Source organism: Homo sapiens, chromosome 11, assembly GCF_000001405.40.
Source record: "Homo sapiens chromosome 11, GRCh38.p14 Primary Assembly".
Taxonomy (NCBI): Eukaryota; Metazoa; Chordata; class Mammalia; order Primates; family Hominidae; genus Homo; species Homo sapiens.
The window spans coordinates 37,002,446-37,016,292 of record NC_000011.10 but is presented as its reverse complement, the minus strand read 5'-3'; positions in this window follow the sequence as shown (position 1 = coordinate 37,016,292).

The following is a 13,847-nucleotide window of genomic DNA, read 5'->3' as shown; positions in this document are numbered from 1 at the left end:
TTAGATTGTTTTCACCTCTTAGCTATTGTGAATAATGCTGCAATGAACAGCCACTATAGAAAATAATATGTTGGTTCTTCAAAAAATTAAAAATAGAACTACAATCTGATTTGGCAATTCCACTTCTGGGTATTCATCCTAAAGAATTGAAATCAAGATCTTGAAGAGATATTTCCACATCCACATTCAAGTAAGTTTTTCCTTAGCATTTATTATTGTCTGACATTATCTTGCTGATCCATTTTTTTTTATCATCGCTACCAGAACTTAAGCCCCCTGAGAACAGAAACCTTATACATCTTCTTCACCGTTGAATACACAGCTACTAATACAATGCTTGCCACTTACTAGGTGTTCAAGAAATAATTATTGAACAAGTGAATAAAGATGCAATGCAAGTCTAAATAAAGGAGGGCATCCCAGTCTACCTGTGAAGACAGAGGAGGGAGCACTCACGATTGAGAGTAGTTGGCTAAGTTCACAACTCAGAGGAGATTTCATTCATTCTTCTATCCAGCCAGCCATCTTTCTACCACTGATCCATTTACTCAGAAGATTTCTTTGAGGCACTGTACTATTGACCAAGGAATGCAGTAGGAAATAAAATTAACTGGGCCTCTGACATTAGGTATTTTACAATCTAGATGGAGAAATAAACTAATAGAAATAGTTATTTATTGTATAAACAATTATTTAATATTTAATTATAATGTTGATGAGTGCTAGAGAGGGCAAGGAGTCTAGGAAGTCAGAAAAGGTTTCCATGGATAAGCAACATTTATGCTAAGATCTGAAAGATAAGTGAGCCTCAGCAAAGCTCCAAAGAGACAAGAAAGAAAGAGAAATTAGGGGAAAAATAATTCTGTTCTGCTGGGGCACAAAGTATATATATGAGGCAGATAGAATGGCCAACAGAAATGTAGATAATTTTATAGACAAAATATTTAATAAGCTAAATGAATATATGTTTATGTAGAAGGAATTATTCAACAGTGACCCTAAACTTTGAAGTTAATGCCACATGACACTGGGCCAATGATGAAATTTAGGAGTATTGGATTGAAATGAACGTGACTAGCCTCACTTTTTAAAATTGATCAAATAAAGTGTAAGAGAAGTTTATTTATAGAAGGTTTGAAGGTTTGAAAAATACCACTAAAAGAAAGTTAAAATTATCCCTGATCATACTTTCCAAACATAAGTACCATTAAGTTTTTGGTTCACCTACCTCAAGGGTTTTTTTTAAATACATATATATGTATATTATTTACAAAATGGCCTAACTATAGCAATTTTTATGTTCTTATGGATACCTCAAAGAATAGTAGGACCAATGACCTGAGAACACCTGTAACTAACTCTCATTTTTCTAGGAATATAAATGATAATCAGAATTTGTTTTTATGTACTATATTCTCCCCTAAAATTGAGAAAGTAAAATCAGTAGTTTTCATGACATTTTCACAAAACCAGTAATGTCGCAGGAAGTCTTTGATTTAAATCCAAAGAAAGATACTGTTCCTTCTTCCAAATATATGGCCGGACACTTAGAATATTATAAAGTCTTGCTATAAATAATTAAATGTAACCTGCCTATGCCTCCTAGTAAAATATATGAACCAAATATATTTATGGGATGCAGTACCTAAGCTGATTATCATGTACTTATTCCCTTACCTAATCAAGACTGGTTTTTAATTCAAAACAAATGTCACAATCTTTACAGTAAAGGAAAATTAATAAGCATGAATAGTCTGTAACTCTAACTTTAAAAAAGTAAAGCATTTCAATCAAACAATTCCCAGTCATACTGTATTCCTCTCAAAATTGACCATTTTGGGAATTAAAACATTTAGCTCTTGATAATTTTCTATATTGTATGCTTCCCAAGAATGAAAAAAATATAGTTTGTTACTCAAAACTTTTTATTTTCTTAACTATAGCACTTATCAGTTGGCAACTATAATTAAGTTGGTAAATTAAAGTTCCCATTTTTCACCTATTCATGTCATCACACACTTCACTGTATAACTTTGCAGTGTTCTCCTGTTCTAACTGAATATTCTGCCCCACTCCTTGACTCTGATTCAGTCATGTCAACAAGCAAATGTGAAATAAACAATGGCTTCATAAAGTATTTGCATATCTTGACTTGCTCTGTCGGTTGTCTGTGATTGCCACAAATACACGTTTCAGCTAACTTGCTGGAGTAGAGCTGCATAGTTCCAGTAATCCCAGCTAAGGCTATCCTAGATGAGCCCAAAGCCAGATGATGCCCTGGAAGTGAGCACACACCAGACTCAAAGAACTGCCAGACTAATTGTAACCTATATTGTCAACTTGCAGACTCAGATTTGTAAGCAAAACAGTGGGTTGTTCTAAGCCACAGAGCTTTGGGGTGATTAGTTACACAGCATTATTGAGGCAATGGATGACTGACACTACAACTATACCCTAAAGTAACAAACATCTTCACAAGTATCATTATTTTTACTTCTCAAAAGAAGACAAAATATATTGGAAAGGCAAAAATTAATAAATATCATTTTTCTTTCTAAATAAATAATTTTTACAAAGAAATACCTCTGTCATGAAATGCAATTAATCTACTTGTGAAGGTAAAGTTAAAATCCTACTCATCATAGTATTTTGGCCAGTTCCAAGCTTCTGTGATGAGTGTACAGACAGAGAAAAAGACTATTACTCCTATTGACTCATAAAGTTATTTTAATAATTCTTCCTCTTTCAAGTTGGTTTTTCTTAAAACTAAAAGCAATACATCTGGTCACCTATTTGAAGTTAATTTGCTCAAGCACAGGCAATGGAGAGATGTTTAGAACAACAGTGCTAATAGACATTCTAAAAGTATGATGCCACTATTGCACTATTGTATTAGTCCATTCTCATACTGCTAATAAAGACATACCCAAGACTCAGTAATTTATAAAGGAAAGACATTTAATTGACTCACAGTTCAACATGGCTGGGGAGGCCTCAGGAAACTTACAATCATGGTGGACAGGGAGGCACACACATTCTTTTTCACATGGTGTCAGGAGAGAGAAGTGCCCAGCAAAAGGGGGGAAAACCCCTTATAAAACCATCAGATCTTGTGAGAACTCAACTGCTATCACAAGAACAGCATGAGGGTAACTGGCCCCATGATTAAATTACCTTCCACTAAGTCCTTCCCATGGCATGTGGAGAGTATGGGAACTACAATTCAAGATGAGATTTGGGTGGGGACACATCCAAACTTTATCAACCATTAACATCTATGGGAATAGTAAAGAATCTATGTAGAATCCACATTATGAAAGCTCCAAAAAGATGAAGTTTACCAGGAATAAATATCATATTTTGTGCTTGGGATTAATCACTTACACTAAGTACGGTATGAGGGAGATGTAACTTAGTACATAGCAATTACTTAAAATTCAACTACAGTTAACATGAAAATGCATGATGGAAAACACAATTAAACTGAATTAAGTTTCCACCATTAACTGGGAAAAGGAAAGAGTACTAACTTATATTTGACTATAATACGTCAAGATTCAAGTTATAATAAAGGTAATAAAAATGAGTAAAATCATTTATAACTAATATACTAATGAAAAGAAAATATGAAATTAAAAATATCTGATTAATCCACAAGAAGATAAGTATGTAAAAAAAACCATAAAGCCTGTGAGACAAATTGAAAACAAATATTAAATATTAACATAGAAAACAAAATATGTCAATTACTGCATTACATATAAGAATCTTAAAGATTGGCAGCCTGGAAAAGAAAAAAAATGGTTTGCAAAATCACACCTAATAGATAAAGACACAGAAAAGTAAGAATTAGGGTAGAAAAAGATGTACTAGACATTTCTAGCTAAAAGGTAGCTCATATCACAAGACTAATAGCAAACAAAGTAATTTAAGACAAGAACAGTTTCCAGAGATAAAGGCAGTGGTGGTGGAAGGTGGGAAAGAATATTTATGATGGAAATAGGATCAATTCACTTTGAAGATATGACATTAAAAACTGAATCAACACAAAACAGAATAACAGATTCAAAACATATAAATAAATATTGAGGGAAACAAAAGGAGAATTTAGATAAATTTGTAAACATACTGGAAAACTTTAATATACCTCTTTCAAAAACTTCAAGAAAAAGCAAACAAAGTCTCTACAATATTGTTAGCAAACCTGACATAATTAAAATTTATAGGCACCACACAAAACAATAACAGAATATACATTCTATTCCAATGTTCAAGGAACATTTACCAAAAAATAATTCCTTAAATTGAGACTGAACAAATTTCAAAAATTTTATGTCATTTAAAGTATGTTATCTGGCCACACTGATATTTAAACAAGAAATCTATAACACAAAATCAACCAGAAAATTCACTATTATTTGGGAATTATGCAAATCCTTTTAAATAATACAGGTAGCAAAAAATCATAAGGGAAATTTAAAAACATTTGTAATTTTGTGATAATGAACATACAGCAAAGCAGATCTTGAAGGATTCAGCTAAAGCAGTGCATAGAGGAAAATGTATAGCCTTAAATATATAAATTAAAAAGAGAAAATATTTAGAAATCAATAATCTAAATATATATTTTAAAAATTGCTAAAATAAGAGCACATTATGCCAAAGTACAAAGCAATGACATAATAAAAATAAGAATATAATGTAATTAAAAAATAAAACATAGAATAGAAAAAATCAACAGAGCCAACAGTGGTTCTAGTTAAAAACTAATAAAATTGATTAACTGTTAATGAGACTAATAAAGTAAAAGAAAAAGCACAAATTACCAATATCAGGAATAAAAAGGGAGTCATTACTTCAGATCTACACACAGTAGAAAGAAAAGAAGATAATGATAAACAGTATAGTTCAAATACACCTATGGCTTGTACACTTCCCTTTATGTATATTATACTTCAACAAAATTTTACTTTCAATAGTGCAGGATAAAAAATGTAACTATTGTAGTGTTCAAGTAGCACATTTCTTCCCTACTAAACTCTTAAGTTCTTAAAGGAAGGCACTGTTAATAATTTTTTGTATTATTAGCTATAAGAAGGCTAGGGGTAATATATCTTTATAAAAAATCTATATTCGATATAAATTAAGGCTTATCTCTTCTCAAAGTGCCTAGTATAGGACGGACACATAATCTTAGCTAATATTACTCAATTACAATGATTAAACTATCTGGGAAACAACTTATTGACTCATACTCCAGTTCATCTTGCTCACATTTTAAGTTTGAATAAGCCAAGAAATACGCATCAGGAATTAGTCACCTGCTAGTTTGGTGGCTATAAGAAACTGAACTGGAAACAAAGAAGTCAACACTTAAAACAGATAATGTCACAAAAAATTATTTTAATTTGTTATATTGCCAAACATAATATATGTTCAATAAATGTTTATTGAGGGTAAGAATAATGTACATTCTTTTTTATTCCTTCATCATTTACACTGTCTTTATAAAAACAGAAATTCTTATTCACCACTGTACCCCCACTGTCTATCATAGCCCAAAGTGCCACATTAGAATTTAACAAACATTTATTCAGTAAATACATGTATTGTTTTGTGTATCTTTAGTATTATCTTAATTTCTAACATTGAAATGAGCATTATTAGATTCATGATAATGATATACTGTGCAAGTTACAGATTGAAATATTTTAAGTCATATTTTTGCATAATTCTTATTTCTATATGCAATTATAAATATGCATTCATCTATAACAGTACCTCAGAAATTCCTGAATCTGTAAAATGATTAAATTATCTGAGAATTAAACTGAGACTATATTCTGGAACTATGTCCAACTTCATGGTTCAATTGTTTTAGCAATACTACAATATAAATATATAGAATTCACATAGGCAGCAAGATTCTGAAATGAAACTAGAAATCATTTTGGATAAACTTATTTTTAAAAAAATTTCAAAGATTATATGGCTAATATATATCTTCATTGAGAGATTTTGCCATCACTGTAAGAAGAAGTAATGCAGTGACTGAATTAATTTTGAAATAAATATATGAGCTTAATTAACATTTATTCCTAATAGGAATAATTATAGCACAACTTTTTCTAAGGAAAAACTACAATAAAATGTGATTCAATATATAGCATACATATTTTGCAAAGATACATATATTTGTGTGTATATGTATATCCAGATATACAAATATATTTGCTTTAAGCAAAGCCAGTGTATGAAAAAGTATTCACTTATAAAACAAGTTAGTGGTTAATGATTTATATTTCTAAGATTTACTATAGGGTCCATTTCAGTAAGAGGAAATCCCAGGTCATTTAAATACGACTCTTATCTGCTTCAAAGTCAGCTTTCCAGAAACATTCTTCCATCACTACAGGTGTGCAAGTACAATAGGACTATTTTCAAAGATAGGATTCCTGTCCGGAGAAGGATAAAAACAGCAATTTCCCTAAGATTCTTGGATTCGATCATCAGTATGTAGCCCCTTGAGGGGAAGTTCCATGTCTCATTTACTTACAAGCTTTTCACATGCTTGACATACAATAAGACCTTAAAATTTACCTAAGACAGGTGAAATGGTACACATCTACAGCCTCAGCTATTCTGGAGGCTGAGGCAGGAGGATTGCTTGAGCCTAGGAGTTCAAGAAAAGCCTGGACAACAAAGCAAGACCCCATCTCTAAAAAAGGAGTTAAAAAATGAGTTATCTGTCATATTTGCAAGCCACATTTCTAATAAAGGGTCAATATACAACATCTATAAGAAACTCACACAACTCAATAGCTAAAAAGCCGAATAACCCAATTAAAAAATAGTCAAAGGACCTAAATAGACATTTTCCTAAAGATGACATACAAATGGCCAACAGGTTTGTGAAAGGTGCTTAACATCACTAATCACTGGGGAAAGGCAAATCAAAACCACAATAAGATCATACATATTAGGATGGCTATTATCAAAAAGACAAAAGATGACAAATGTTGTCAAGGGTGTGGAGAAGGACCCTTGTGTACAGTTGGCAAGAAGGTATATTAATGCAGTCACTCTGGGAAACGCCATACGGGTTCCTCAAAAATTTCATAATAGGACTACCGTAAGACCCAGCAATCTACCACTCAGTATGTATCGAAAGAAAATTAACACCTCTTAGAAATATCTGCACTCCCATGTTCATTGCAGCATTATTCACAATACCAAAGATATAGGAACAACCTAAGTGTCCATGGATAGATGAACTGATAAAGAAATTGTGGGTTGTATATATGTGTATGTGTGTATATATACATACATAAACACCTCACTTATATATACCTCCCTTAGGTGTGAAACCTGCAAAAAAAAAAGTTGAGTAGATAGAAACAGTAGAATGGTGATAAGCAGGGACAGAGGAGAGAAAATGAAGAGAAAGAAGAAAAAGGTACAAACTTGCAGCTATGTAAGGTAAGTAACTCTAGCTATGTTACGCACCCATGAGGACTATAGTTAATGATGTAGCATGTATACTGAGAATTTGCTAAGAGAGTAGATTTTGAAACCACCTTTGTAAAAATTCTAACAGTGAGAATATTATGACAGTGAAAGAGACCTGATCTAACCAACTCCATTTTGTCTTTAACCTCCAAACTGCCCTTGGTTATTCCTGGGCATGGGCCAAGCTAACTTTGGGAGAAATTTAGTTTATAAGTTAAATGGTAATAGCCCTTCCCAAAAACTAAATCTTCTTTGTAAAACTAATGAAAGGCCACCAGGTTAGGAAGAGAGAGGGCCTGAATTCTACTAAGATGTAGGCCTAGTTAACCAATTACCAGCCATTATTCTGGAGGTCACAAGATTTGCAACCTCCCCAATCACTCCTGTAATTAACATCACTATTATAGAACCTAATATTGCCCTTTTGAGATGCCTTTCAGGCTTTCTCATTTCTAAGGACAGGATGGCCCCACTCAGACCCTCAACTCTGGACCTAACCAGTCCTGTAACTCTCCACATGTAACTCTTGCTCGGCCCATGCAAACTACCCTATATTTATAATGCCCTCTTCCATGCTTAAGTCTCTAAAACAGATGTAGGAACTCTAAATTCCCTGAAGGAGCAGTGTAAAAAAAAAAAGCACTTAGCACCTAGAGGTTGGAACTAACCAGAAGCGAAATCATAGTACTTTTCCACACCCCTATTAATTGCATCCCCAACCAATCAGCAGCACCCATACCTTACCCACTGGTTGCCAAACTATCTTTGAAAAACCCTAGCCTCTAAATTTTCCAGGAGGCTGGTTAGAGGAATAGTAAAATTCCACTCTCTCATTTAGTCAGCTCTGTATGTATTAAACCCTTTCTCTGTTGCAATTCCTCAGTCTTGATAAATCGGCTTTATCTGGGGAGCAGGCAGGAAGAATGCATTGGGCAATTACAATTGTAGGTGTTCTTACCATACACACAAGCGTGATAACTATGAAAGGTGATGGGTAAGTTAATTTGCTTAACTGAAGTAATCCTTTCACTGTTTAATATATATCAAAACAGCATGTTATACACCTTAAATATATATACTAAGAAAGAAAATAAAAAAGTCTACCTGTCAGAATCAGTGAATTGTGTGTCTGTATGAGTAGCCTTGTAGTTTTGTTGTGAGAAAATACTTTAAAATCTGTCCCTGTGCTTTGCCTTTTTTTGTACTAACTGCTATTCAGCAGAGACATCCATTGCCTGCAGAAGAATTAGGGTTGTTAGAGGTGGAAGGCATAGAGAAAAAGCATCACTATTCAGTATTTGACTTCCAAAATAGTCACTTGAAGCTTGTTTCAAAGACAGTACTCTTGAAAGCCAAAGTGTTAAAGTGAGAACTGAAATGTTAAAGAAGTTTTTTTAAAAAAGTGAGAAAAGATTTTGTGTCACAGAGGAAAGGCCTAAAGAAGCAGAACATAAAATTCATTCACAAGAAAGAGATTAGGAGAAATGTAGATGAACAGCTAAATAACTTCACCCAAAACGGAAAATTAAGGTTGCTTTATCCAGGAGGGTAGAGCTAAAAAAGGGCACTTGAGGAGGACAAGGAGAACTAGGAGATGGAATACAAGAAGAGGCAAAATGTAGGACCTCCCACCTCCACGTGAGCCATAAGGAAACCCAGGTAACCCCCACAGACTGCCCTTGTCATTTAAATGAGTGCCCTGGTGTTACTGGAAAGGAGTCCCATTCCAGACCCCAAGAGTGGGTTCTTGGATCTCACACAAGAAAGAATTTCAGGCAAATTGGTAGAGTAACATGAAAGTGAGTTTACTGGAGAAGTAAAGAAACAAAAGAACGGCTACTCCTTAGGCAGAGCAGCCGCAAGGGCTGCTCACCTGCTTACAGTTATTGTTACTTCTTGATTATAATGCTAAACAAGTTGTGGATTATTCACAAGTTCTTGGGAAGGGAGTGGGCAATTCCCGAAACTGAGGATTCCTTCTCTTTTCCAACCACATAGGGTAACTTCCTGATGATGTCATGGCATTTGTAAACTGTCATGGCACTGGTGTTAATGCATTATAATTAGTGTATCATGAGCAGTGAGGATGACCAGAGGTCACTTTCATCACCATCTTGGTTTTGGTGGTATTTGGCCGGCTTCTTTATTGCATGCTGTTTTACCAGCCAGGTCTTTGTGACCTGTATCTTGTACCAACCTCCTATCTCATCTTGTGACTAAGAATGCCTTAACCTCCTGGGAATGCAGCCCACTAGGTCTCAGCCTTATTTTACCCAACCCGTATTCAAGATGGGTTCGCTCTGGTTTGAACTCCTCTGACACAAGTAGCCTGGGCTGAGGTATAGTATTAGTTTTCCTTCTCTTTGCCACAGGGTGAGAGCATCTCATCAACAGTTACCTGCACATTGCACATCAGTTACCCAGCAGACATGGTGGCCAATAATGATGTAAGACATTGCTTGGCCCATGCAAACGACCCTATATTTATAATGCTCTCTTCCATGCTTAAGTCTCTAAAACAGATGTAGAAACTCTAAATTCCCTGAAGGAGCAGTGTAAAAAAAAAAAAGCACTCAGCACCTAAAGGTTGGAACTAACCAGAATCAGTTTGAGATTCTTCCAAACTCCAAACGAGGACAAGGTGAAATCCACCCACATCACAAAGTTTTTTGGACATGGACATCTCCAAGTCTAGAAATGAACGATTCCTGAAGATCTACAACTGTAGCATGTTTTATGTAAAATTGTAATATAAGAGCAGTGAAAATAGTTTTATTTTAAACGTAAGTAAATAATTTAAACAAAACTAGGGACAAAGAAGGAGAAATTCTGAATAGTAAAGGTCATATAGGTTTAAAAAATTTATGTAAAAATGGGTCAGATTATTACACAGCATCTCATGGACCAATCGCCTCACTTTATACATTAGGAAACTGAAATTTAGAGAGGTCGATCAATTTCCCTAAGGTTGAGTGGTGGAAATGAGACAAACCCAAGAATCTATTCCTCTCTGTCACTTATTAACTGAGTTTCCAAAATTCAGCTTTATTTCTGTGTATCCTGCTTTATTCTCAGCTAGATAATCAGTTTGTAATCTTTGAATAGATTGTTAACCTTAGCTTGCTACATAAAGCTAATACCTAATAGCAGGTTCTTTTGAGTTTATTTGGAGAGCCTTTTCTTTTGCAAAACAATCTTTCTTTATCTCTGTTCTCTTCTTTAGAGTAACATTTCCTCTGGTATTCTACCTCCTTTAACTCTAGTTCCCACTTGTTTTTATCACAGCCCCATATGAAGTCATTCCATTATCCCATCTCCTTGTAATTAACTTCTAGGATATTTCCCTAAGAAGTATTCAGAATGATGTAACAACTTTAATTTCTAATAGTGTCATACTAGTATTCAACTGAGATATCTTAAACATAATCTACTTGCAGCATAACATATAAATATGCGTATGCCATTTTCAATGTAAAAAGTGATTTTTTGTGGCATTACTATTTTTGCTTCAAAAATAAGTAGGTATATTACTTTATTTGAAAAAATAGCATATATTTCTTTATTACATAATATTTATTACTTTATTTGAAAAGTATAGAGGTGAGAAAATTAAGTAACTATTGAACACCAAGTTGAAGAGCAGGGTCTGGAATTTAGGTCTCTGATTCAAAATTCCATGTTTTTCCTGCTATGCCAAAACCTCTTCAGAAAAATTGTTAGGCTTGGCCCTTCTGTTGCTGGAGAATCAGAATTCATAGAAGCTGAATAAATTCACGTGTGAACTTCTGGTTTTGGGGGAGTGAGCAACTCAATCATACTGGCCTCCTGCTTCTGATCAGGAGCATGAGAAGCAGCAATATATGGATGTCTAGATTAAACAACCATTTGTCATTGACAAAGAACAGTAGCGAAGTGCCTTGGGAACTTATTGGGGTCAGATAGGAAAAGGATAAACAGGCATCACACATGGGTAGACAATGATTGGAGAGAATGTTCCAAAGCAAGTCATTCCTGGCAATGGAATTTTGTAGGGAAGAACTGAAACCGGCCATGCCTCCCACCCCTGGTGATTATCCTTAAGAGAGACATGGCCCTGTTGTGTCTGGAATCTCCTAATTGCTTCCTCCATTCGCTCACAATCAATCTGAATATAAAGTAAACTTTGCTCTTTAAGACAGGAAATGATCCTTAGAATCTGAAGAAATTATATTTTCTGACCTAACCCATGACATCAGTAAGATTGAGGAGGAATGCCCATGTTGACGGAGGCACAGTGAGGAGTGGAATAGGGTGGCTCACACACTGCACACATCCCCCCTGACAGCTGACAGTTCATGAATTCACCTAAAATAGGTGACCATCTCACACAGGACAGAATTCAATGAATAAGGGGATAGTTTTTCTCTCCAACGACCCCACAAACTCTTTCTGCTCCATTGTGAAATCTAAACTTTGCATGTCCTATTGCTCAAGAAGTCTAATAACTGCCTTTAAATAGGTGCACTCTCATGAAATGGTATCTGCCGCCATGAAAGTGGATGGGTTTGAGTTTCCCAATGGAACAGCCATGAAAAAGAAACCATGCCTGTGCTTAGGTTGAACAATTAAGTCACAATTCTCATTCTGGACTTTTTTTCTCAAACTAGAAGATCAAAATGGCATTGCTCTACATCCTCCATAGATAACGCATATAAACAAATCAAAAAGATAAAATATTTTCATTTCTCTCTGGAAGTTTTTTTTGTTTTTTTTTTTTTTTTTTTTGAGACGGAGTCTCGCTCTGTCGCCCAGGCTGGAGTGCAGTGGCGGGATCTCGGCTCACTGCAAGCTCCGCCTCCCGGGTTCACGCCATTCTCCTGCCTCAGCCTCCCAAGTAGCTGGGACTACAGGCGCCCGCCACTACGCCCGGCTAATTTTTTGTATTTTTAGTAGAGACGGGGTTTCACCGTTTTAGCCGGGATGGTCTCGATCTCCTGACCTCGTGATCCGCCCGCCTCGGCCTCCCAATGGAAGTTTTTAAGAAAGTCGTAGTTAAACCCTAACACTTCCGTGCAGTCTTTCAATTAGTGACTGGGCTCCCCCTACTGGAGCTTTGAGGTATTGTATGCATCCTGTGTCATTTCTACCAATGCACATAAAGTCTTTGATTTTTCTTTTTAATCTTCATAAACGAAGGACCTCATTAGGGAATTTCAACGCTCTACATTTTCTTATTCTTCTTCTTTTCTTTGATTTACTGCCTCATGGACCCATTTATCCTTTTGCAAGTGTTTTCTGAGCACTGCTATGCTAAACTCAGTGAGAACACATATGGGAAATTTTGCATGTTTGAATATGTAATTATGAACAGGACTTTGAGAAATTAAAGGATGTCCCAAGGAGGGACTCTGGAGGCTGTCTGCACATTGAGAACAACAACTGAAGTAATTACAAATGTAATTACAAACTAATTACCATATTTAATATAATATAATTACAAATATAATTACAAATATTACAAAGCCTGAACAAGAAGAAGCTGAGATTATAACTGTCTTCACATATCAAAAGGTCTCTCGTGCAAAAAAGAGCTTAGACTTATTTTTTATTGCTTATGGCAGGATTTCTTGGCCTTGGCACTATTAACATTTTGAGTTGGATGATTATTTGTTATAGGAGGTTTCCTGTACATTATAGGATTATAATCATTATAGAGCCAGCGTCCCTGAATTTCACCCACTTAATGCAGTGGCACCCAGTTGTGCAATCCAAAAATGCCTATAGACATTGCCAAATGGACCCTGGGGGACAACATCATCCCAATTGAAAACCACTGCTCTGGAATCTAGATTCCAAAGGAATTTCCAAAAGAGATATTCAATTGGCAGGACTCTGAACACTGTCTTACCAAAGTGGCTCCATACTTACACATTTTACGAGATGAGTTGCTACAGAGATGTCATACTCAGATCAAGAAAAAAAAATCAAAAACCAGTGTTTGAGCACAAGTGGAATTGTGAGGCTTGAATTTTAATAAATTCCCTTTCCCTGGAAGAATGCAACGGAGGTATGGTAATATCAGTAGGAGAATCTGTAAGATTCTACCCAACAAGTAGGTGCTAAGAGGTGTCATTTCTAAGGTCTCCATAATTGTGATTCTTTATCATGATTCTTTATCATGATTCTATATGGTTTTGTTATCCAGACGCAGACATTGTGACCACACAGAACATCATTATTAGAGACAACTTTGATTGGCTCTTCCCTTGAACAAGTTGAAGACATGTATGGCCATAATTTAAATTCTACCATTTATTTTTTGTTCTGATTGTCCAAAATGCCTAATCCTTTTTAGAATC